The sequence below is a fragment of the Homo sapiens genome, chromosome 9 (genome assembly GCF_000001405.40).
Source record: "Homo sapiens chromosome 9, GRCh38.p14 Primary Assembly".
Taxonomy (NCBI): Eukaryota; Metazoa; Chordata; class Mammalia; order Primates; family Hominidae; genus Homo; species Homo sapiens.
Genome location: NC_000009.12, coordinates 12,068,691 through 12,096,060, shown reverse-complemented (window position 1 = coordinate 12,096,060; position 27,370 = coordinate 12,068,691). Strand labels below are relative to the sequence as shown.

At 36.4% G+C, this 27,370-nt stretch overlaps 1 annotated feature.

Moving 5' to 3' along the window:
• Positions 3,578-3,872: an enhancer, noted in NCBI's record as "tiled region #1681; HepG2 Activating non-DNase unmatched - State 24:Quies, and K562 Activating non-DNase unmatched - State 24:Quies". NCBI's record gives its function as "activates a minimal TATA promoter and a strong SV40 promoter by Sharpr-MPRA in HepG2 and K562 cells {active_cell/tissue: HepG2 | K562}" and the evidence as "EXISTENCE:reporter gene assay evidence [ECO:0000049][PMID:27701403]".

The window sequence follows — 27,370 nt, the reverse complement described above, 5'->3', positions numbered from 1 at the left end:
GTACTTAATTGGCTGCACAAGAAGGAGAATTTATGAGCTTCTAGCCAGTGCCTCAAAACTAGGTCAAGATAGCATTTTTAAAAATTATATTGCACAGTGTTTATCTCTTGAGTATAATACTCAAAAGAAGGAGGAGGTACTGTGTAGCTACTGTATTTTATAATATTTTAGTACTATTTTACTTTTTAAATTATACTCATGTGTCACCAAAAGAAAAAAATACTTTTTAAGAAAAGAAAATGGCATTTTTCCTAGATGTTTTTCTGAAAATTCAATTTCAGTAAATAATGTATTCTCAGGAAGTACCCCATGCTGATGCTTATAACCTGGCAAATATGAGACTCTCTAAGGCAGTTCCATACACTGAGATGGGGGAGGATAAGATATAACTGGTGTCTGTGTGAAGTGCTATTCCACAAAGCAATAGTGTGCCTTACAATATAGGTTTTCCTAAATTCACATATCTACATAAACAAATAAATTAGCTAGGTGTGGATACATTACTAATAATTCTGGGGAGAGGGCAATACAATTTTTCCCTTTATGTATATGTGTGTGTGTGTGTGTGTGTGTGTTTTAAACATGGCCACTATTTTTTTTATAATTCTCCCATAAAAAAACATTAAAGTCCCATTCCCTTAAATGTGGATGAGCTTCAGATTGCTTTTACTAATAGACACTATGCAATTTTTACGTCATATCTTAAAATGTCATGCAACTTTCACCATGTTTGTTCGAACACTGGCCCGTGGAGTCCTGAGCTCTCCATTTTAGAGTTACAGCTACTCTGAAGCTGCTATATATAGGGGCCATGGCTAAGTGATCTGATGCTTGTTTCCAGATGAGCCAATCCTTCTACTCATAAACCTCAAGGTGTTATACCTGGGAGACAAGCTCACTGGAATGCTCCAGACCAACCCCACTGCTGAGTGACCTTCATTGATACTCCATGGAGCGGGACATTCAACAGCCAAAAAACCTGCTAGAAATCCTGACCCACAGATTTTGAGAGATATTAAAAATGATTATTGTTTGAAGTTATTGAGTTTGGAAATATTTTGCCATGCAACAATAGACAACTAAAACAGAGTTTAGCACTGGAATCTGGTTCTGCTTTAACAAAAAACTAAAATGAGTCACTTTGGTTTTGGGATTGAGCAGCAGGCTCAATCTGGCCTCAAGGAAGCTGTGAGTAAAAGTTTAAGGTGAAAAATAAGGAAAAATGTGATTTCTGAAGAGAAAGAAAGTTTGGCAAAATTGTTTGCTGCAGTAAGGTTAAAAATAAAACAAGTACAACATGAACTGATGAGGGTAGAAATTTCTATGAAGAATATGGAAGGTGTTACCTTTCTTCTTCTGAATGCCTGTGATAAAATATAAGGGAGAAGTATATCAAGCAACTTCTCAATATTCTCATGTGGGAATTTAGAGAAAATATAGAGGTCTCAGAGCAGTTTTTCAAGCTGGTAAGGAGTTTTTAAAGGAGCAAAGGGGTATTGCTTTCAGTTAGATGTAGAAGCTACAACATAATGCCATTTCTATAATAGGATAAAGCTGAATAATAGACATTTATAACTTTTCCTGAACTCGGAGAGCTGAAAACAGAAAGGTCACCAAGTGAACTGAATTCTAAATGATAACAAACTTCTCTGAGGAGAGATAATATATTGCTTTTCCTGATAGTTTTACCATTAGCAGAGCTTGGGAAGATGTAATATCTACTGTAAAAACAGGTAAGAAAAAAATAGCAAAATTTTAATGAATTCTTGAAGAGAAATGTGGTCTAACAGGTTAGCTTAGGATCCCTGTGAAACTCAGAGTCAAGGAGAGTCCACAATAACTCAGAAATGCTTCTACATGAGTCATCATTAGGTTCTCATGACAAAAACTGAAGGTAGAAATTGATAGTGAGAGAGGGAGATTGTATTAGTTTGCTTGGGCTGCCACAATAGAATAGCACATACTGAGTATCTTAAACAACAGAAATTTGTTTTCTTATTGTCGAGACTAGAATTCTAAGATAAAGGTGTCATCAGGTTTGGTTTCTGGTGAAATCCCTCTTCCTGGTGTGTAGATGGCCACCTTTTCATTGAGTCTTCACATGACCTATCCTCTGTGCACCCATAGAGAGAGAACGATCTCTAGAATCTCTTCCTCTTTTTATTTAAATGAGATCACCTTGCTGATCCAAACTTTAAATGAGATCACCATGCTGATCTCATTTAAAGTTCATTAGCTCTCTAAAGCCCCTACTTCTAAATACAGTTGCATTGTTTCAACATACTAATTTCGAGGGAACAACTCAGTCAGTAATAGGGAATATCTGCAAAGAAGAAGAAATGTTTCTAGGATGGGGAAATATTCAGAAATATTATATATCTTGTTTGGGGTACTGGTTATATGACCATATTCATTAAAATGTATTGTATGTATATTTTATGTCATCAAAACTGACTTTTAAAAAGGGGTGGGAGCAAAGGACAAAACCAGGGCTCTTTCAGTAAATCACATTAACAGGAAAAGATATAGCCATTATATCACTTTGAAATCCTTTGCTAAACCCTCAGAAAGAATTTAGAAAGTTCCCCATTCTCATAAAACATTTCAGAAAGAAAACAACCACAAACCTTTAAAAATATCTTAAGTGTGCTCCCCAGTTTCTCTGTTAAATACAAAGAGGTTTCTAAGTATCTTAAGGATGCTGCTCCTCAGCAAGGTAGATAAGAGCTTGTCTAGAAGGTATTTGTGGGTGTGTCTTTTGTTTAATGGAGTGAATTTTAAACCAAAACTAAGAAAATCACAAAGAAATTACGCCATGTTGGACCCAAAGGGAAAAAAATGTTTAAAAATAATAGACTGTTGTTCTCCAAAAATTTTAGAGGAAAAAAGTAGGGTGAGAGAACTATGGCAAATATGAGCTGTTTTTAATGAAAGAGAAATTGTGGCTCAAATATTAAAACCAAAAGCCCAGAAGGCAGTGCTAAAGACTCTGAACAAACATGCCCAGGGAACAGAAAAAGGTCCTATTAAAGAAACTGGCAATACACATCTAGCTAGATTTCAGAACAGCTCTGGACCAGTGATTGGTATAAGCCTCTTCTATTTCCCCTTTTACAATAAAGAGATCTAAAGTGGTACTTCTATACCTTTCTCACCATCGAATATTGGATGTATGAAAGGCAATTAACTCACTCTTAGTTTATAGGTCCTAGAATCCAGATGAATCGTACCTAAGAAACCATACTTGAAGAGCCTAATTTGTACTTAGAATTGACTTGGCTTAAAGACATCCATACTCTGACCCAGACTTTTACTATGAGATGAGAATTTTGAGAGGTATTGGGAGGCATGAGTATATTTTGCATGTTAGAATAATATAACTAAGTTCAAGATGGCTGACTAGAAGCAGCTAATGTGTGCTGCTTTCACAAAAAGGAAACAAAGTGGTGAGCGAATACCAGCAATTCAGGCAGATCACCTAAGAGATCCCGTTGTAATTCACCAAGAAAGCAACAGGACTCATGGAGAACAAAGAAGAGTAAAGCTGCACAGCCACCCACCTGGGACCAGGGGAGCTGGAGGAATCTCCCTAATGTAAGGAAAGGGTGAGTGAGTGAGAGCCCCTAGAAGATCCACACTTCCGCCATGGACTTTAGTAATCCTGGGCACAGGACAGACTCTCTCACCCACCATGAGCCTCCAGAGCAACACAGAGAGCCACCTGGAGTCTGTGCAGAGGCACTGCTCAAGCCCATATAGGGTCCCACAGGTCTTGGATCCCTGAGCACTTCAGTGCCAGCTGCCATAGCCCTGTCAACAAGGGAGGAAAGGCTCTTTCACTTACTCCTAGTACAGATGCCACAGACGCAGTGCTGAGGAGTAAATTAACTGCAGATCGCACCCTCACTTCTCACCAGGCAGGACTCACCAGCTTTGGTCCCTAGCACAGCCACCCTGCCGTCAGGGTGGAGAGTCATAGCTCCGCATTTCTCTGGGAGGAAACTCCCAGAGGTATGTGATAGTCCCTCTGCAATTGCTGGTTCCCTCAGGCTACAGAGGGATCAAAGGAGTTGAGTGCTTTCCTGCATTTCCAGCATGCTGCTGCTGCTGCACTGAGAGGCAACCAGAACTTTTACCATGGAAAATTTGCCCGTGCTGCTCCACTCCAAACAGGGTACACCAGCTTGGGCACACAGCATGACTGCACACACCTGACTTAGCATTTCAGCTGTGGCCCAGAGTCCTACTGAAAACCCTACCTCCAGTGGATTATGAACTTTCCTTGGGCTCCCACTGCCCAAGTATTCTGTCTGCCCCTGCCTGAGAGTTCAGCCCATGACCTGAGAACTAGCCAGCCCCTCCCCAGTTACGACCAGAACTTGATCCTTGGGCTAGCCCAACCCCAGATTAGCCCCATTAGGACTCATACATGATGTTCAGTTGGCCATCTAGGACAAGGGAACTGGGAAACTATCTATTGTATTCCAACTCTGCTAGCACCTGACCACTTCCCCAGGGCCTGAGGTTGGGCTAATCCAAGTGGCCTATACCACCACAACAAACACCCACCAGCATGGGTCCAAAGGTGGAGCCCTCACCTTTACATGAAATTGCAGTGCTACCACATCAGAGAACAGATGAGCCATAAAGCTATCATAATATGAAGAAGTTGTACCCCGAAACCACTCCCATGGAGAGTCACAAAACAGGCATTTCCTGAGGCTATCAGCCACATTACGGTTCAGAGACAGACTACAGTGTTCATCTGAACTAGAAGTCATGAGCCCCCGAAATATGGGGGTTATAGAGTAACAGTGCACATTACTGCCTATCTAAGATGAGGAGATGCCACAGCTTCATCATTTCCAGTAGGAAGAGACATCAGCACATTTCTCCAGGAGCCCCTCCCAGCCACCTTCATCAGGGTTGGTGCCTGCAGTCAACATACATCCCTCATGGGGAAGCCAGGGGCTCCAGCTCTGCCCAGCTGTGACCCCCACTGCCATGGCACAGAAAACTCAGGAGACTGGGGACTCCACTGTCCAGCTAGCCCATCACTTGAAACAGAGAGCACTCCAGAGTAAACAAAGATCAGATACATCCACATTTGCCTGTGCCACAGCTGGCTCTTAACCGTAAGTAACATGTAGTGGTCTGTAGGTCAAATGGTACAGCCCAATGTAAAACCCGCTAACAGAAGTACATAGAGCTATAGAAGCAAAACCAGAAGACCCTACTCAACTTACTCTACAGTCACACCATTTGGGGAGGGGAAGACAGGGAAAGAAAAAATATAGACAAAAAGAAAAATATCTTGCCATGTGAAAATAGTTAAAAGATTAAAAGTGGCAGGCTGTCCAGACAAGAATAAATCAGCATTAAGAATTCTGGCATTGTAAAAAAATCTGAATGTTGTCACACCACCAAAGGATCCTAGCACCTTTCTAACAATGAGCCCTAACAAAAATGGAAACTCAGAAATGACATAAAGAATTAAAAGCAAGGATTTTAAAAGCTAGAGTCTCAAGACAAGCTTGAAAATCAACACAAGGAAACTTCTAAAGTAATCCAGGAAATGAAGAAAGGATAAATATCTTAAACAGAATTAATCAGAGCTTCTGGAATTAAAAAAAATCATGTAAGAAATTTCAAAATAAAATGGAAAGCTTTCGATAAAGTAGAAGAAAAAATTTCAGAAATTGAAGACTGCCCTTTTGAGTTAATCCAGTCAGACAAAAATAAAAAAAAATTACGAAATGAATAAAGTCTAAGAAATGTGGGATTATGTAAAGTGGCCTAACTTACAAATTATTGGCATTCCTAAGAGAGGCCAAATGTAAACAACCCAGAAAACATATTTAAGGGGATATTTCAAGAAAATTTCCTTAATCTTACTAAAGAGGTAAACATAAAGATATAAAAAAATCCAGACAACACTTGCAAGATACTACACAAAATGAACATCACCAAGGCATATAGTCACCAGACTATCCAAGACCAATGCAAAAAAAAAAAAAAAAAAAAAAAAATGCTTAAACGCAGCTAGAGAAAAAGTTGTTCACAAAGGGAACCCTATCAGGCTAACAGAAACCTCTCAGCAGAAACCTTACAAGCCAAAAGGGACTGGGCATCTATTTTCAACACTCTTAAAGAGAAGAACATTCAACCAAGATTTTCATATCCTGCCAAAATAAATTTCATAAGTGAAGAAATACAATATTTTTCAGACAAGCAAATGCTAAAGAGATTAATTACCTAATTAATAGACCATCCTCACAAGAGGTCCTTCATGGAGTTCTAAACAAGGAAACAAAAGGATGAAACTTGCTACCACAAAAACACACTTAAGTACATAGTCCACAAACCTATAAAGCAACTACACAGTTGAAATCACAGAGCTACTAACAACTTCATGATAGGATAACAATCTCACAAATCAATATTAACTGTGAATATAAATGGTCTACATGACCCAATTAAAAGGCACAAAGTGGCAACATATCCAACATAGAAGCATGCATATTCATAAAACAAGTACTTGTAGACCTAGGAAAAGACTTAGTCACACAATAATACTGAAAAACTTCAACACCCCACTGACAGAATTAGACAGATCATCAAGGCAGAAAACTGGCAAATAAATTCTGGTATTAAATTCAACACAATCTATTGGATCTAATAGACACTATAGAATATTCTACTAATCAACCACAGAAAATAGAGTTTACTCATCTGCACACAGAACAAATCTAAGACTGACTACATACTTGGCCATAAAGCAAGCATCAAAAAATTCCCCCCAAAATGATAAATCATACTAACCACGCATTAAGGCCACAGGGAAATAAAAATGGGAATCAATACCAAGAAGATATCTCAAAATCACAATTACATGGAAATTAACAACTTGTTCTTGAAAACTTTTGGGGAAACAACAAAATCAAAGCAGACATAAAAAATTCTGCATCGAGAAGATAGAAAGTTCTCAAATTAACAATCTAAGATTGTGCTTTGAGGAACTAGAAAAACAAGAACAAAATAATCCAAAAAATAAGAGAAAAGAAATTACTAAAATCAAAGCAGAACTGAATGAATTTGATATCCCCAAATCCATACAAAGGATCAGCAAACCCAAAACTTGGTGCTTTGAAAGAATAAATAAGATCTGTAGACCACTAATCAGATTACCAAAGAAAGAAGAAGAGAAGATCCAAATAAACACAATCCGAAATGACAAAGATGGCATTACAACTTATCCTACAGAAATATAAAAGATCCTCAGAGACTACTATAAACATATCTATGCACACAAACTGGAAAATTTAGAGGAAATGAATATATTCCTAGAAACACACAACCTCCCAAGATTGAATGAGAAAGAAATTGAAACTCTGAAGAGACTAATAGAGTTCTGAAATTGAATCAGTAATAAAAATCCTACCAACCCCCCCCCCCCCCAAAAAAAAAAAAGCCCTGGACCAAATGGGTTCACAGCAAAATTCTACTAGACGTACAAAGAACTGGTACTTAGTCAACTGAAACTCTTCTAAAAATCCAGGAGAAGGGATTCCCCCCTAACTCATTCTATGAAGTCAGCATCATCCTAATACTAAAATTTGGCAAAGACACAATGAAAAAGGAAAATCACAGGGCAGTATCTCTGATAAATAGATACAAAAATCCTCAACTAAATACTAGGAAACCAAATTCAGCAGTGTATCAAAAAGTTAATTCAATACCATACAGTAGGCTTTATTCCTGGGATGCAGAATAGTTTCAATATACACAAATCAATATATATGATTCAATACATAAACAGAACTAAAAATGAAAACCATATGATCATCTCAACATACGCAGAAAAAACTTTTGATAAAACCCAACAATCTTTCATGACAAAAACTCTCAAAAATGCATTGAAGGAATGCACCTCAAAATAATAAATGCCGTGGATGAGAAATGCACAGCCAACATCAGGGTAAAAGCGGGAAGCATTCCTTTTGTGAACAGGAACAAGACAAGGATATCCACTCTCACTACTCCTATTCCACATAGTACTGGATGTCTAAGCCCAAGCAATCAGGCAAGAGAAAGACATAAAATGCATCCACATAGAAAATGAAGTCAAATTACCTGTCCTTTCTTTCTTTTTTTTTTTTTTTTTTTTTGAGACGGAGTCTCGCTTTGTCGCCCAGGCTGGTGTGCAGTGGCGCGATCTTGGCTCACTTAAAGCTCCGCCTGCGGGTTCACGCCATTCTCCTGCCTCAGCCTCCCGAGTAGCTGGGACTACAGGCGCCCGCCCTCATGCCTGGCTAATTTTTTGTATTTTTAGTAGAGGCGGGGGTTTCACCGTGTTAGCCAGGATGGTCTCGATCTGCTGACCTCGTGATCCGCCTGCCTCGGCCTCCCAAAGTGCTGGGATTAGAGGCGTGAGCCACAGCCCCTGGCCCCAAATTATCTGTCCTTTCTGATGATATGATTCTATACCTAGAAAATTGTGAAGACTCTGCCAAAAGGCTCCTAGAACAGATAAATAACTGCAGTAAAGTTTCATGATACAAAATTAATGTACAAAAATTATTAGCATTTATATACATCAATAATGTTGTAGCTGAGAGCCAAATCAAGAACCCAATCCCGTTTAAAATAGCCACACATACACACACACACAACACACACACACACACACACACACACAGATACCTAACAATACAGCTAAACAAGGAGGTGAAAGATTTCTACAAGGAGAACAACAAAATACTACTGAAAGGAATCACAGATGACACAAACAAATGAAAAAACTTTGCACGTTCAAAGATTAGAAGAATCAATATTGTTATAATGGCCGTTCTACCCAAAGCAATCTACAGATTCAACATTATTCCTATGACATTTTTGAAGTTTTTTTCTAATTCTGTGAAAAATGATGTTGGTAATTTCATAGGAATGGTATTCATATGGAACAAAATTGAGCCTGAATAGCCAAAGCAATCATAAGCAAAAAGAATAAAGCCAGAGTCATAACATTACCCAACTTCAAACTGTACTCAAAGGTTAAAGTAATCAAAACAGCATGGTACTGGTACAAACAAACAAACAAAAAACACATAGAGCAATGTAACTGAATAGAGTACCTAGACATAAAGCCACACACCTACAACCATCTGATTTTTGACAAACTTGACAAAAGTAAGCTGTGGGGGTAGGACTCTGTATTCAATAAATGGTGCTGGGATAACTGGCTAGCCATATACAGAAGAATTAAACTGGACCTCTACATTTCACCATATGTAAAAATTAACTCAAGATGGATTAAAAACTTAAATATAGTATCTCAAACTAGAAAATTCTAGAACTAAACCTAGGAAATACCATTCTTGGCATCAGCCTTAGCAAATAATTTATAACTAAATCCTCAAAATCAATTGCAACAAAAATTAACAAGTAAGCCTAATTATACTAAAGAGCTTCTGCACAGCAAAAAAAAAAAAAAAAAAAAAAAAAAAAAAACCAGAAACAAAACAAAACAAAACGTCAGAGTCAACATACAACCCACGGAATGAAAGAAAATCATCACAAGCTATTCATCTAAGAAAGGATTAATATCCACAATCTGTAAGGAACTTAAACAATTCAATAAGCAAAAAACAAATAGCCTCATTGAAAAGTGGGCAAATGAGATGACATGAACAGGCACTTTTCACAAGAAGACATACAAACACCTAATAAACATGAAAAAAATGATCAACATCACTAATCATCAGAAAGATGCAAATCAAAACCAAAATGAGATACCTTCTCATACCAGTCTGAATGGCTATTATCAAAAAGTCAAAAACCAAGAGATGCTGGCAAGGCTTCAAAGAAAAGGGAATGCTGATACACTATTGGTAGTTATGTAAATTAGTTCAGCCACTGTGGAAAGCAGTTTGGAGATTTCCCAAAGAAGTAAAAACAGAGTTACCATTCGACCTAGCAATCCCATTACTGGGTATATATCCGAAAGAAAATAAACCAGTCTGTGAAAAAGATCATGCATTTCTAGGATTAAGATGGCACAGAATTATTTAATATAAGTTTTAAATGACACAAAAGACCTAATAGGAAATGAAGATTTAAAAAAAAAAAGCAGTTTGAGTCAAGTACTTACATATAAAATTGGGTAAAAAAATAGTTAAGTTGTGAAAGATAATAAGGCAAAGCGCTTGGGCCAGGGTAGTTAACTGGGTAGAGAAGTGAGTAGGAAGGGAGGGGCTAGTTTAACAAGGTTTGTTTGTGCATATTTCTTTTGGCTTAAACTTTGTGTCCTTGATGATAAAACTTTTATAGGCAGTCCATTTTTTCTGTTAGACTTTTTTCTCCTGTTTTTAAGCAACAGAATGAAGGTTAGAGTGAATTTTTTTGTATCTGCTGTTTTTTAAAGTACCTTTAATTCAAAATAGTCAATATGCCAACACAGCATATTTTGGGGTGGCATATTCTTAACACCTTCACAGGTTTGTGATTACTTTGACCAGGAGTACAGCAGAAGTGATTATTGAAACTAGAGAATAAGGTCATGAATCTTCCACCTTGTTCACTAGAATGCTTGCTCTTGGTGACTTGAGCCTCCATAGTAGATGTCTGAGTCCCCTGATGCTCCCATGCAGAGGAGGCATGTGTAGATAGAATGGCAGCAGTCCCAGCTTAGCCCAGCCTTCTAGCCATACCCACCAAGGAGCCATACATATGAATGGAAGTAAATGGAATCTTCTTGGACCCTCCAGAGAAGCCCATACATCAGTTGAATACCATGCAGTATTCTCCATGAACACCAAATGAAGCAGAATAACCTAGCCAAACTTAGCCAAATCCCTCACCCACAAAATCATGACATCATAAAATGGTTATTATTTTTAGCTGCTAAGTCTTGGGGTAGTAACTTCCCCTGCAGAAGTAACCAGAGTATGCTGTTTTAATTATTCTTTTTAATTAATTTGACTATTTATTGATCCTAAATCAGTTTATTCTTTACTTTCTCTAGCATTCATAGAGCAATAAATGGGATAATTTATATTTTCTTAATTACTGGCATTAGAAATCCACTCAAGAAATCATACTGCTTGACTCTCTTGCCCTTTTTAGGGTATGTTTGATGTAAAGCAAAACAAACTACTATGTCAGTGCCTGGGTTGGAGACAAATTCTCTCTCCTCTGCATCTCACTGATTGGTCTGATGGCTTTCTGGTACAAAATCTTGAAAATTAGAGAAGAAGCAACTTCAATGAGAGAAACAGAGAGAGAATCAGAGACCACAGGAGGAGTGAAACAAATTTGGTAATAAATATTGTGTATTTCTGTGAATGACTCTTCCTGAAAACAATGTTTGGTAAGATATATTAAATTCAGTAATATACACTAAATATATGTTTTGAAAACTGAATAAGTGAGTTCCACATTGGAATCAATATAGTATCACACAAAGACAACACAATCAATTTGAACACTGGAGTGATTCTCAAGGATGTCTACAGAATATCATCATTCGGAGAGCTTTAAAAAATACCTACACTTGAGATCAACCTCAAGTGATTTTGTTGAATTAATCTGGGGTGTTAATGGAACATGGTTCTTATTTAAATTTCTTCAAAGTGATTCTATTGGTAGCCAATATGGACAATCACTGATCTAGAGTGCCAGGGCTCTCAAATAATTAAAGTACTTATTGAGAAGTTAGGAGAAATATTTGAAAGGAATTTGTCTTCTCTTTGTCCATACTACTGGGAATTCCAAAGCAAACGCATAAAAATAACTGACATCTACTTTTTGTTCATGGTGATCATCACAGTGGTCCATTAACCACACGGATTCCTATTTCTCTTCCACTATTGCATTTCATTTAGTTTTTGCTGCTGCACTAGGCCTGCCTTCTACCTGTGTAGCCAAAAAAAGCGGAGAGTGGGGAATTTAGTGAATATGTTACTGTTACACATTGGAATAGCTTAGCTGAATAAATTGTCTATATAAATTGAATAGATTGTCTATATAGATTGCAGGTCTATTCTATAAATATTCTTCATTGATACTGAAGCTTCTCTGAGGGATTTCTAGGATCTTATCTTTGTATGTCCACTATTCTGATATAATCAAAATATGTTTCATTATGGTGTACAAGAGAAATATTCATAATTGGCATTATATTTAAATGTATTCAAAAATATACATGCATGCTTTATGACCTAAACCCATTAGGTTATTTGTGAGTTGAATTTCCAAAAGATTTCAGTAATAAAAACTGTATGAAACTACTAAAAATGTGTAGCGCAAAACGGATATTGATTTGCCTATGACTACATATATTATTTTATGTTTCATCGTACTGTGTACCATTTTTTATTTTAATAAAACATTTTTCTGCTCAACTAGAAGGTTTATTAAAACACAGATATTCATAGTTTATATTTTAGAGATTTAATATTCAGTTGAGTATGTTTATTGGTATGTGATTTACCTAAATAATTCTTTCCACATTGGCTCTACTCTAGAGTTAAAAAAAATCGAACAAATGTTTTTATAAAAATGAGCCTGCAAATGTTTCACTGAGTATATAATTGTACGTATCCAGTGATGTTATATACCACAAAAAAGAGAATTACATTTTTCAAACACCATCTTGCTGGAACAAGCCTAAAGAATGAGCAATAATTCCTGTGCAATATAATGTACCAAAATGAAAATAATGAAATGTTCTTTAAAAATACTCTAGGCTGATAAAAAGGAATGAGAGCATGTCCTTTGTAGGGACACGGACAGAGCTGGAAGCCATTATCTTCAGCAAACTAACTCAGGAACAGAAAACCAAACACCACATGTTCTCACTTACAAGTGGGAACTGAACAATGTGAACACATTGACACAGGGAGGGGAACAACACACACAGGAGCCTTTTGGTAGATGGGGTTGGGGGAGGGAGAGCATTAGGAAAAATAGCTAAAGCATGCTGGGCTTAATACCTAGGTGATGGATTGCTGGGTGTAGGAAACCACCATGGCACATGTTTACCTATGTAACAAACCCACACATCCTGCACATGTACTCCAGAACTCAAAATTTAAAAAAAATACTGTAGACTGAAAATCAGATCTTTCTTGGAATTCGGGTTCAAAATTAAGGTGAAAATTACTTAGATGAAAAATTACATATGTATGTCCTTTAAATATCCTATAACATATAATATAGTTTGTATTGTGTACAATAAATTTTATGGAAAAAAATAGTTTAAAAACCATTGACCTAGAGAATAGGTAGGAAAAAAATCACTCTATGTAGATGTATGGATTTTCAAACTATTTTCATTTTGTTCATACTATTAAATTATAATAATTATATATGAGTATATTAAGTACTAGGCACGTTTCTAAGTACATGTATTAGCCAATTTCATCCTCACTAAATACAATTAAATAGACGCTCGAATGACTAAAAAATGCTCTTAATAATATTACCAGATGCCTATTACTGAGTAAGCATTTCTAATATATGCCATTTGCCTGCAGAATTTATTACATTATGTTTTATGTCGTTTCTAAAATCTCTGTGTGTGTGCACAAATGTGCACCTATAAAAAAGGTTGCATTTATGCTGATGAGACTTAAATGGGTCACTTTTGACTTTAAGTCAGTTTCTTAAGTGTATTAAAGAGTTCAGGAATTAAAGTGAGCAAAATGTGCACAGAATGTCCTCTTCATCCCTTCCTCCTTCCACTTCTCTCTCTCATTCCCCCATTTCCTTACATATTATGAATTCACATCCTTATATTGACTTAATGGTTACTTTAAATTATAGTCATTGAAATTATTCATTTTGATGCTAAAATCACACCACATATAACCAGCTCTTTCAAGCTGAATTTAATTGTGTGTCTGTGTGAGTTTACATGATTTTATTGGTCTTTGAGTGTTTCTTGCAAAACAGTACCTACACCAAGGTAAGTCTAGATATAGATACAGATACAGGTACAGGTACGGATACAGATACAGATACAGATACAGATACAGATACAGATACAGATTTAGATAGATATAAGCCTTACATGCATTTTGTGTGCCAAAAGATTATATTCTAGTATCTCTTCAAGGAGTCTTAATTCTATTTAGTGGCTAATGGCATTCTGAAACCAAAACCTGGGCGCTAGGTGTGCTAATTAATTCCAGGGTATCATTGCTTTTAGACTTTTTCGGTGGACAGATATATGATATTTTTAATAAACTTTATTTTTATACCAGTTTTGAATTTACAGAAATATTACAGAGTACTAGTAGTCTCCATAAACTCTACACTCAGTTTCCTTTATAATTAATATCTTTCATCACTATGAATATTTGTTGTAATTAACCACTATTGAGGCTTTAGTCACTAAAATGTGTATCTTAATCATATTTTCTTATATTACACTTGATGTGCCTTTCCTTGTCCCAAGATCTCATCCAAGATACCATATTGCATTTAATTATCATGTCTGTTTAAGTTCCTCTTGGCTATAAGTTTCCCAGACATTCCTTGTATCCAGAATTCAAATGTTTTATAGAAAGTTCTTCAATTAAAATGGTCTCAATTTGAATTAAAAAGTCTGATGTTCTTCCTTATGATTAGACTGGAGTTATGGCTTTTTGGAAAGAAATTAGATGGGTTAAGTATCATTTTGAGAACATCACATCAAGATTATATACAATCATGGTATCACTGTTGTTAACTTGGATCCGTGGCTGAGGTAATGGTTTGTCAGATTTCTTCACTGCCAAGTTATTCTTTTCCCTTCTTTCTATACTGTACTTTGGGGAGAGAAGTCACAATGCAGAGCACACTTAAGGATTGTGGAATTAAATGCAACTTCCTTGAGGGCAGATTATCTATGTAAGTTATTTGGATTTCTTCTGCATGGGAGATTTGTCTTTTCTACTCTATTTGTTTTCTACACAATAATTTAAATTAGTTTGAACTCATGGATATTTACATTCTACTTTTGGTTAAAATATAGTACTTTATTTTTCATATTTATTGTTTGAGAGCTCTTTCAGTTGGCTCTGGGGTGCTTTAACTTCCTCATTATGGTTTTGTTTTGTTTTTTAAACTCCCTTATTTTGTGACACTACAAGATATACCAGGCTTATCTGGTATATTTCCTGTCTTAGTCCTAGAATCAGCCGTTTATCCAAAAAGCCCTAATTGTTTCTGTTGGAGGAGATTACAATTAGAAAGTAAGATCTGGGGAAGTGGTGTCCTCAAAGTTACTGGGGTGTCTTTGCCTTTAGGTGCTCTTCACTGCAGAGATGGAAATATATGTGTGTATACCAACCCATGTATATAAACATATCTGTAAATATTTATGTTTTTAAAATTTTTTCTTTTCAAAATTTTAAGTGTTAGGATTCACACTTTGTACTGTATTTTACAAAGGATTTTGACAAATAATGTCATGTGTCCAAAATAGATTCATAGCCTTAAAAAAAAATCCCTTGTGTAGACAGGGATGCCATCTCTCACCACTCCTATTCAACATAGTGTTGGAAGTTTTGGTCAGGGCAATCAAGCAGGAGAAAGAAAAAAAGGGTATTCAATTAGGAAAAGAGGAAGTCAGATTGTCCCTGTTTGCAGACGACATGATTGTATATTTAGAAAACCCCATCATCTCAGCCCAAAATCTCCTTAAGCTGATAGGCAACTTCAGCAAAGTCTCAGGATACAAAATCAATGTGCAAAAATCACAAGCATTCTTATACATCAATAACAGACAAATAGAGAGCCAAATCATGAGTGAACTCCCATTCACAATAGCTTCAAAGGGAATAAAATACTTAGGAATCCAAATTACAAGGGATGTGAAGGACCTCTTCAAGGAGAACTACAAACCACTGCACAACGAAATAAAAGAGAATACAAACAAATGGAAGAACATTCCATGCTCATGGATAGGAATAATCAATATCGTGAAAATGGCCATACTGCCCAAGGTCATTTATAGATTCAATGCCATCCCCATCAAGCTACCAATGACTTTCTTCACAGAATTGGAAAAAACTACTTTAAAGTTCACATGGAATCAAAATGAGCCTGCATTGCCAAGTCAATCCTAAGCCAAAAGAACAAACCTGGAGGCATCATGCTACCTGACTTCAAACTATATTATAAGGCTACAGTAACCAAAACAGCATGGTACTGGTACCAAAACAGAGATATAGACCAATGGAACAGAACAGAGCCCTCAGAAATAATACCACACATCTACAACCATCTGATCTTTGACAAACCTGACAAAAACAAGCAATGGGGAAAGGATTCCCTATTTAACAAATGGTGCTGGGAAAACTGGCTAGCCATATGTAGAAAGCTGAAACTGGATCCCTTCCTTACACCTTATACAAAAATTAATTCAAGATGGATTAAAGACTCATATATTAGACGTAAAACCATAAAACCTTCGAAGAAAACCTAGACAATACCATTCAGGACATAGGCATGGGCAAGGACTTCATGTCTAAAACACCAAAAGCAATGGCAACAAAAGCCAAAATTGACAAATGGGATCTAATTCAACTAAAGAGCTTCTGCACAGCAAAATAAACTACCATCAGAGTGAACAGGCAACCTACAGAATGGGAGAAAATTTTTGCAATCTACTCATCTGAAAAAGGGCTAATATTCAGAATCTACAAAGAACTCAAACAAATTTACAAGAAAAAAACAAACAATCCCATCAAAACGTGGCCGAAGGAGATGAACAGACATTTCTCAAAAGAAGACATTTATGCAGCCAACAGACACATGAAAAGATGCTCATCATCACTGGCCATCAGAGAAGTGCAAATCAAAACCACAGTGAGATACCATCTCACACCAGTTAGAATGGTGATCATTAAAAAGTCAGGAAACAACAGGTGCTGGAGAGGATGTGGAGAAATAGGAACACTTTTACACTGTTGGTGGGACTGTAAACTAGTTCAACCTTTGTGGAAGACAGTTTGGCGATTCCTCAAGGATCTAGAACTAGAAATACCATTTGACCCAGCCATCCCATTACTGGGTATATACCCAAAGGACTATAAATCATGCTGCTATAAAGACACATGCACACGTATGTTCATTGTGGCACTATTCACAATAGCAAAGACTTGGAACCAACCCAAATGTCCATCAATGATAGACTAGATTAAGAAAATATGACACATATATACCATGGAATACTATGCAGCCATAAAAAATGATGAGTTCATGACCTTTGTAGGGACATGGATGAAGCTAGAAACCATCATTCGCAGCAAACTATCACAAGGACAGAAAATCAAACACTGCATATTCTCACTCATAGGTGGGAATTGAACAATGAGAGCACTTGGACAGAGGAAGGGGGTGGGGGGAAGGAGGAGGGGTAGCATTAGGAGATATACCTAATGTAAATGACGAGTTAATGGGTGCAGCACACCAACATGGCACATGTGTACATATGTAACAAGCCTGCACGTTGTGCACATGTACCCTAGAACTTAAAGTATATGAAAAAAATACCTTGTGTTTCACTCGCTCAACCCTACCTTCCCACCCCCAAAATCCTGGCAACCACCAAGTTTCTTTCTATTAATAATATTATTAGAAGAAGACAACATGACATCTACCCTCTTAATATATTTTTAACTATACAATACATTGTATTGTTATCTATAGGCACAATGTTGTACATCAGATCTCTAGAACTTAATTATGTTATATAACTGAAATTTATATACATTCATTAGCCATTTTCCATTTCCCCCTCTATCCAGCCTCTGACAACCACCATGCTAGTTTTTGTTTCTATTAGTTTGACTATTAAATGGAATCATGCAGTATTTGTCCTTCTGTGACTGGCTTGCCTAGCATATTTCACTTAGCATAATGTCCTCAAGGTTCTTCTATTTTTGCCTTTTACAGAATTTCATTTTGAAATCATACAGTGTGGAGCATTTCAGACTGATTACTTTCTCATATCAATATGCATTTAATATTCAGAGACTATTTTCATGGCTCGATAGCTCATGTTTTATCTCTGAATAATATTTTATTTCATGGATATACCACAGTTTGTTTCTCCATTGACCAGATGAAGGGCATCTAGGTGGCATCCATTTCTGATGATGAATAAAGCTGCTGTAAACATTTGCATGCAGGTTTTCGTGTGGACATAACTTTTCAAGTTGATTCTGTAAATACCAAGAACATGGTAAAAGTATATTTAACTTTGTAAAAATGTGTCAAAGTCTTTCAAAGGGGTTATGCTATTTTCATTCACACCCGCAATGAAAGAGAATTACTGTTGCTCCACACATTCACCAGCAATGGTATTTTCAGTTTTCATTTTTTATAAACCCCTCTGTTTTATTCTCCAAAATAAACCTGTCTTTGACTGTTGAGCCACTTTTAGTGTTTCTTTCCTCTTTTGTTAACTCTTAAAATATCATATTCCTAAATGATTTTTTGAATTGTAATACTAATATTGTAGCTTAAGACTCCTTGATAATTCTTTTTGTCCTTAGAATATGTTCCACAAGGGGTGTATACTCAGAGTCCTCAGTTAAAATTTATTATAAAATACTTCTTGTCTCTTCACAGTTGTGTTTACTATCTCATATATAATTAGGTTCATTTCTAAATTATTTTATTAAATTTTAGGTTTGCTTTTTTTCTTGAGAATTACATTTTATTTTTTGTGTGTAAAATACTGACATGGTTAAAAAATGAAAACCTTATAAAATTGGCATATTTGGAGAAATATTACTTCCACTTATATTTCCTTCCCACTCTTCTGCCTGTCTTTCATATAGTAAATCGTTTTCAATATTTTCTGCCTTAACCATTGTCTGAGAGAATACATATTTTTCTTATTGCCCCTTCTATTTTACACAATTGTGGTAAACTAAAAATACTTCTGTAATTTTCTAACTTCACAATATACCTTAGAAATAAATCTACAGGCCAAATGCTGTAGCTTATGCCTGTAATTCCAGCACTGTGGGAGGCCAAAGTGGGTGGCTCACTTGAACCCAGTGGTTTGAGACCAGCCTGGGCAACATGGCAAAACCCTGTCTCTACAGAAAATAAAATAAAATAAAATAAAAATTATCCAGTCATGGTGGTGCATGCCTGTAGTCCCAGTTACTACTGAGGCTGAGGCAGGAGAATCACTTGAGCCTCGGAGATGGAGGTTGCAATGAGGAGAGATCACACCATCACATCACTGCACTGCAGCCTGCATGACAGGGTAAGACGAAAAGAAAAAGAAAAAGAAAAGAAAAGAAAAAAGAAAAGAAAAGAAAGAAAGGAGAGAGAAGGAGGGGGAGGGGAGGGGAGGAGAGGAGAGAGGAGAGAGGAAAGGAGAGGGGAGAGGGGAGAGGAGAGGAGAGCGGAGGGGAGGGGAGAGGGGAGGGGAGGGGAGAGGAGAGTGGAGAGGGGAGGAGAGAGGAGAGGGGAGGAGAGAGGAGAGGGGAGTGGAGAGGAGGGGAGGGGAGAAGAGAGGAGTGGAGGGGAGGAGAGGAGAGGAGAGGAGAGGAGAGGAGAGGAGAGGAGAGGAGAGGAGAGGCCGGGCATGGTGGCTCACGCCTGTAATCCTGGCACTTTGGGAGGCCGAGACGGGTGGATTACATGAACTCAGGAGTTCAAGACCAGCCTGGACAACACAGTGAAACCCTGCCTCTACTAAGATACAAAAAATTAGCCAGGCATGGCGGCACACACCTGTAGTCCCAGATACTCAGAAGGCTGAGGCAGGAGAATTGCTTGAACCCAGGAGGCGGAGGTTGTAGTGAGCCAAGATCGCATCACTGCACTTCAGCCTGGGCGACAGAGTGAGACTGTCTCCAATCGTTGTTATGAATCATAGTACAACCATACACTTCTGCATTATGTTGTTTTGTGTTCATAGAAGTGAATCAAATTCCTCTGCATAGAGGTAATATTTTGCAAGCCTTCACAGCATATATAAATTCCTGGTTTTCTACAACCCAGACAACAGAGTGTATTGTCAGTCTTTCGGAATTTGTCAATTTGATAAGAGATACTTTGATATCACTAAGTAGTTTTAGGTGTTGATTTTATAGTTGCTGAGTTAAACATAATTCATTTCCATGAGGATTATTTTCCATTTTTCCCCATTCACTGCACTTTGTCCTTTTTTGTTGTTAGTTTATTCTTTTTTTCTCTCTCTCTCTCTACTTTTCAGAGCATGCTATGTGGTGAGGATTTTAAAGCTTTGTCTGTGATATCAATGAAAAACATTTTGTTCCAGGCCCTCTTTTGGCTATTGCCTTTAATGCAATTCAGTTTTTATTTATGTTTATTTTTAGACTGCAGAATGTATTATTGCACTTTTTAAATTACTTCTGAATTTTAAATAAAAGACTCTTTCATGAGCATGTCAAAAGTAGGTGTATTTTCTTATATCAGAGTACAAAAGTGGATATATCAAAAAAGCTTCCTTATCGATTACTACTTAGGTGCTCTTCATCTTTATTCAATATTGTATCCATTAGATCTGAAACAAAAATAGTGTGCTGGCAGTTTATCAAGAAGTGCTCTCAGGATCAATACCTATTGAATAAATGGAAAGAGTCAGAATCATACACAGGAAGTAATTGGGAGGTGATGTAGTCTTCACAAAGGCTTCAGCCAGCAAACCTAAGGGGAGCATTAAACCTGGGATGGCCCTAAAGCGTGGTTTCATGTAACATGGAGAAGGGCAGGCAGTTATCCTTCCGCATTGATTGGTCTGTGGATATAGTCACCAAAAAGGGGGCTTGTCGTTGGGAGAGTCAACTCTTTTTAGCCAAGACAATATAAGAGAAGGAAACAGCTGGAAATTGGCAACTGGTAATACTTCCAGCAGCTGGGGGAAAATTCTTTGAGTCCTGAAGAGAGTTTCTGGGAAGTTTTTATATCTTTCTTCTTTCTACAGTATACTGTAGTCTCTGTTCTTTGAAGGCGTCTGCTGGATTTTTTAGTGCACATCTATCAAAAACTAGATATTTTCATTGTGAATTGTGGTTATTAGCATTATAAAATATCCCACTTTATCTTTAATGTTAATTTGCCTTATTAGATATGACATTTTCAATACTTGTCTGATATATTTTGACCATTTTTAAATTTGTATCCATTTATCATATTTTGGTATGGTGTATTTTTATGTAGAATGTAGAATTGTATGTTGCTTTGTGAGCCATTTTGAAATGTTTTCTTCTTTTGAAAGATGAGTTAACCCAATTTACATTTGTTGATAAAAATCGTGCTTATTTTTAGCTCTTATACTATTTTATGTAAGAAATACTATATGTTATATTTACCATGTAATTTTTACTATGTAACTTGAATCCTTTTACAAAATAATAGAAAAAAATGCTAAATGTATTTTGGTATTTGAAATGTTTACTTTTTCTGTCATAATGGTTACCTTTATAATTATGCTGTTTGATACTTAAATCTACTTTTCCTTACACAGGCTTCCATTGTTTGGTTTGTGATTTTTCTATTTTTTGGTTTTGAATGTTTCTTTGTTTTCTAGTGATGCCAAGGAGTTTAATTTACTTTTTCTTCTCTCTCTCTCTCTCTTTTTGATGTTATAACCACTTTGTCAGAGTCTAAATAATTCATATTTACTGTTCTCATTTTTGGCTTAGTCTTAAAATTACATATATATACATATATAGTATATGTTTACATATATCATATTACATGTATAGTATATATATAAATTTTTAGTATCTTTTTATTGATGTGTCCTCATTCATCTTTTGATTAAATGAATATTTTTCTTTAGTAGGAGGGTCTCCTGGAATAATATGTTCGAGATTCCTTTAGTTGCTTTACTCAATATATTCTGGTATGAGTTTAAATATACCATCTTACTGTTTAATTGTTATGTATTTAAATTGCCTTATGACTTTTACCTTTCTTTACTCAGCTTCTTTTTAATTATTTTAAATATTGCTTCCCCTTATCTTCTTTGCTTTCATTTATGTAACCTTTCACTCTTCTTTTAATGGTTACTCCAATTTCGATTAAATTTGAACTTAAAATAGTGATTTTTACCACTTACCCAATAACCAGGAAACTTAGGAGACTTTAAAACACTCTTTTTTCTGACTTACATGTGATTATTATGCATTGTAATTACCTGTATTTTGGAAACCTCATAGAGCCTTTTATTATTGCCTTATATGGTCAATATTTTATTAAACTTACCACTATATAAAAACTCTTCACTACTCATTGGCTCTTTATATTCAAACTACCTTCCAGGTTATGTTTCCTTATGAATGAAGAATATTCTTTTACCTTACTTTTACAGCAGGTATGAGAATTTTCCCCATTTTTGTTTGCCTGAAAATAACTTTCTTTAGGATTGATATTATGTTCAAAGTTATTTTATTTAAACCTTCTGAATATAATTTTATAATACTCTGGTTTCCATCATTTCCTTTGAGAAGCCAATTCTCAATTTATTGATGTTCCTTTGCAGGTGTCTCCAGAGCACCCCACCCACTGGATCCCTTTCTTTCAGATTTTTGTCTTTTTGTTTCATTTTCAGCAATGTCACGTAACATTCCTGGGTGCAGTTTTTTCATATTCATCCTGTTTGAGGTTGTTAGAGTTCTAGTTTCTGTGACTGAAAGGTATTTTCTCTTTTTGGAAACTTTCAGCCATTATCATCTTTGAATATGGTTTCTGCTTTATTCTCTCTCTCTTCTCCATTTGGAACTCAAAGTACTTGTCAGTTAGACTTTACCACTTTATCAATGGGTCTTTGATGCTCTTTTCCATGTTTTTCTTTGTATATGTAAGTGTATCCATTTTTCTTTGTATGTGTAATTGGGGATTTTTTCTTCAGATCCATTTTTCAAATATACTAAGTTTTTTATACAGTGGTATTTAATCTGCTATTAATGCAACCCAATAGCATTGTAATTTTAATAAATTTGCAACTGTATAATTTCATTTACTTGTTTTAAAAATAGTTAAGAGTTTTATGCCAAAAATCAGTATTTTTTTAATTTTTGAAAATAGGCCGGATGCAGTGGCTCATGACTGTATGAGACCAGCAGTATGAGACCAGCCTGCACAACATGGTGAGACCCTGTCTCTACAAAAAATAATAATAAAAAAAATAGACAGGCATGGTGGCTCACGCCTGTGGTCTCAGTTATTTGGGATGCTGAGGTAGGAAGATCACTTGAGGCTGGGAGGTCAAGCCTGCAGCAAGCCATGTTTGTGCCACTCCACTCCAGCCTAGACTACAGTGTGAGAACCTGCCTCGAAACAAACAAAAATAACTATATAAAAATAGTTATTTTAAAGCCTGTGTCTGCTTTCTTTGTATTTCTTCATCGAACTCATTATATTAAGGCCTTAAAGTGTCAGAGATAATTTATCAGTTTGACTAATTTGGGAGAAAATACAAATTGGACACTTAGAAGAAGCAAATAGAGATGACTCAACAATTTTGCTGAAAAAGAAAGAAATATGGTGGTAGCTGGAGGAGAAAATGAAGTCACATTTCTAAATAATACTTGGGCCAAGGAAAATGTCTCAAGACAAATTGTTTTTAAATATCTGGAATTAAATGAAAATGAAGGTGCAACTGACCAACATTTGTCAGGCACGGTGAAACAGTTCCTAGAAAGAAATTTATAACATTGAAGGTTGTATTAGTTCGTTTTCATGCTGCTGATAAATACATACCTGAGACTGGGAAATTTACAAAAGAAAGAAGTTTAATGGGACTTACAGTTCCTTATGGCTAGGGAGGCATCACAATCATGGCAGCTTCACAATCATGGCCTCACTTAATCACATCTTGAGTGGACGGCGGAAGGCAAAAAGAGAGAACCTGTGCAGGGGAATTCCTCTTTTTACAACCATCAGATCTGGCCAGGTGCGGTGGCTCGCACCTGCAATCCCAGCACTTTGGGAGGCCGAGGCAGGTGGATCACCTGAGGTCAGGAGTTCGAGACCAGCCTGGCCAATATAACAAAACCCTGTCTCTACTAAAAATACAAAAATTAGCTTGGCATGGTGGTGTGGGCCTGTAATCCCAGCTCCTCGGGAGACTGGGAAATTTACAAAAGAAAGAGGTTTAATGGGACTTACAGTTCCACATGACTGGGGAGGCCTCACAATCATGGCAGAAGGCAGGGAGGAGTAAGTCGCATCTTAAGTGGATGACGGCAGGCAAAAAGTGAGAACGTGTGCAGGGAAACCCTTCTTTTTAAAACCATTAGATCTCATGAGGCTTACTTATTATCATGAAAACAGCATGGGAAAGACTTGCCCCCATGATTTAATCACTTCCCATTGGATTCCTCCCATGACATGTGGGGATTGTGGGAGTTACAATTCAACATGAGATTTGGTGGGGGACACAGCCAAACCATATCAAATGTGTATACAAGAAAAAAGGAAAGAGCTAAATCAAAAAACCAAAGCTTCCACATTAGAGAACTAGAAAAATAAGAATTTAAGGTCAGAGAAAACAGGAGAAAAAGAGAAACAGCAGAAAGCAATGAAATCAAAAACAACAGACACAAACAATAGGAATAATAGAAAAAATATTTTAAAAAATTAAAAAGTGGAGAATTTCATAAAAATGGAAGTCACAATCCAGTCTATGATCGGTAAAATTGATAAACTTCTAGCCAGGCTAAGTGAGAAAAAAATGGAAGACACAAATCACCAATATCAGGAAAAAAGGAAGGGTAATTATTATGGCCTCATAGATATTAAAGGATAAAGCAATACTATGGCCAAATCTATGCCCATAAATCTGATAACTTAGGTGAAATGGATAAATATATTAAAAGATACAAACTGTCAGAATTACACAAGGATAAATACTCTAAATCAGCCTATATTTATTTAAACAAATAAACCAATAACTGACAATGCTTCTTGAAAGAAAGCACCAGGCCTAAATGATTTTAACTGCTAAAAATATTTTTCTCATTTTCCAAGATTGTATTGACTTATCAATTAATGACATCACTAGTAAGGTGTTACAACCAATTCAAATAATTCTAAAATATACATTTACATGCTGTCAGGAATGAAATGAATTTACAAAACTTTGGTCTATATCCACAGAACAATATTCAATTATATCTTTACCAGACACAATTTGTATTTTTTTAAAATGTATTTTACTGAGATGAAATATCCCTGTGCCACCAAAGCTAGAGTGCAGTGATGTAGTCATAAATCACTGTAGTCTCAAGCTCCTGGGCTCAAGTGATTCTCCTGCCTCAACTTTCTGAGTAACTGGAACTACAGGCAGGTGTCACCACACATGGCTAATTTACTATTTGTATTTTCATGAACATGAAACATTTCCATTACCACCTGTACTCTACAACTTTTATAGTCTTAAAAATGGTCAAAGGAAGTAAAAGGCAGAGATAACCTGCGGGTATACAAACTGAGACATAATCATTTTTGCCTTTTTCAGTGGCTCTCCCAATTTTTTTCTGACATATGTTAAGAATATGGTGGGGGCTCTTGCAGAAGCTCAAATTGGTTATAAAAAATAGTTTTTTTTCATATATTTTAGATGCAATATATACATATTTCATTTTTCAGTGAATCACGTTCCAAAGCCATTACCACCATCTACATAGCTCTGAATGGTCCTTCATTAATGCACTGCAGAAGTGAAGGTGATGCACCTTCCCAAAACCTGAGAAATTAATGTTCAGGCACCCTCATGTAAGTACTGGCAGGGTTCTCATGCTTATGAAGTGGGAATACCTCCATCCAACCTGAGCCGCAACCTCATTTATACAGGGAGATCCAAAGCCATACTCCGTAGAATCATAGCATCTCAGAGAACTGCCTTTAATGGAATTGCCCTTTCTCCCTGACTCAAACTTAAGATATTGAGGATCAAGTTTAATGGCCATAGCAATGACAGAAAATGATAGACAGATTCAACTTTCTTTGACAGTCTTGAAAGCCTCCTGTTTGTGATAGTATTCTACCCATCCATCTATCCATTCATCCAAACTTTTTTTTTTTTTTTGAGACAGAGTTTCACTCTTGTTGCCCAGGCTGGAGTGCAATGGCGCGATCTCGGCTCACTGCAACATGCGTGACCCAAGTTCAAGCGATTCTCCTGCCTCAGCCCCCCGAGTATCTGGGATTACAAGCATGTGCCACCATGCCCAGCTAATTTTGTATTTTTAGTAGAGACGGGGTTTCTCCATGTTGGTCAGGCTGGTCTCGAACTCCTGACCTCAGGTTATCCACCCGTCTCGGCCTCCCAAAGTGCTGGGATTATAGGCGTGAGCCAGCATGCCTGGCTTCATCCAACCTTTTAATCATTAATACTAGGATAAGCTTAGTATTAAGGCTAAGTCACTGGAATAAGCTTATCACAAATCAGCAGAAGGTTCCTAAATGCTATCACCTGATACCTTTCTAGGGGGTTCTCTCTCCAGGGAAATGTCATGGTGTCATGAAAGCAGCAGGGGGCTGAAGGGAAAGAAACTCAAACTCCTTAGCTCTTTTCCTTGTCGGGCACCTTACTATCATCTGTGAAACATGGGGACTTAAGTTTCTACCACTTGATAGGACTATTGTTATAACTAGGGCTGCAGTTGAAGAAAAATATAAAATCACTAAGTTCAAATTCCTTTAAGCCACAATGTTACCATTTGGCTAGAACTCAGGCCAATTGCTGGTAACATTTACTCTCTCCCTCACACTTAGAATTCTTATTTCCACATCAGTACTTTGTGGAAAAATTCTTATTTCGTTCTTTCTGATTGGTGTACTAGAATAATAGCATCTTCTATCTTATTATAATTAATATAATATTATCATAATCACGTTTAACCTATTTATAGCTCATTAACACAACCACTCAGGGCTACAATGACCTAATCTTTTCTCTACTTTTTCTATATGCTTATCACAAATGATTTCATATATTTCTATAGCTTTTAATAGTTCTTATGATACATCTACCAATCATTTAAGGGAGAAATTACATCAATTCTCCACAATCATTTTTAGAAATTACAAACAGAATGAATACTTCCCAATTCATTCTATGAGGCCAGCATTGCCCTGAACAAAGCCAGATACACATTACAAAAAAGAAAAGCTTCATAGCAGTATCTTAATGAACTTAGATTCAAAAATCCACAAAAATATTACCAAATTGAATCTAAACGTGTATAAAATTTCAAAAACATGTTACTCCATCTAAAGGCCAAATTTTCTCCTGGTCTTAAAAGCAGTTCCTGTTTTTTTCCCCTGCAGGTAAACATATGTTTACCTAAAATAATGCTATGGAATGAAAAACACAATAAAGATG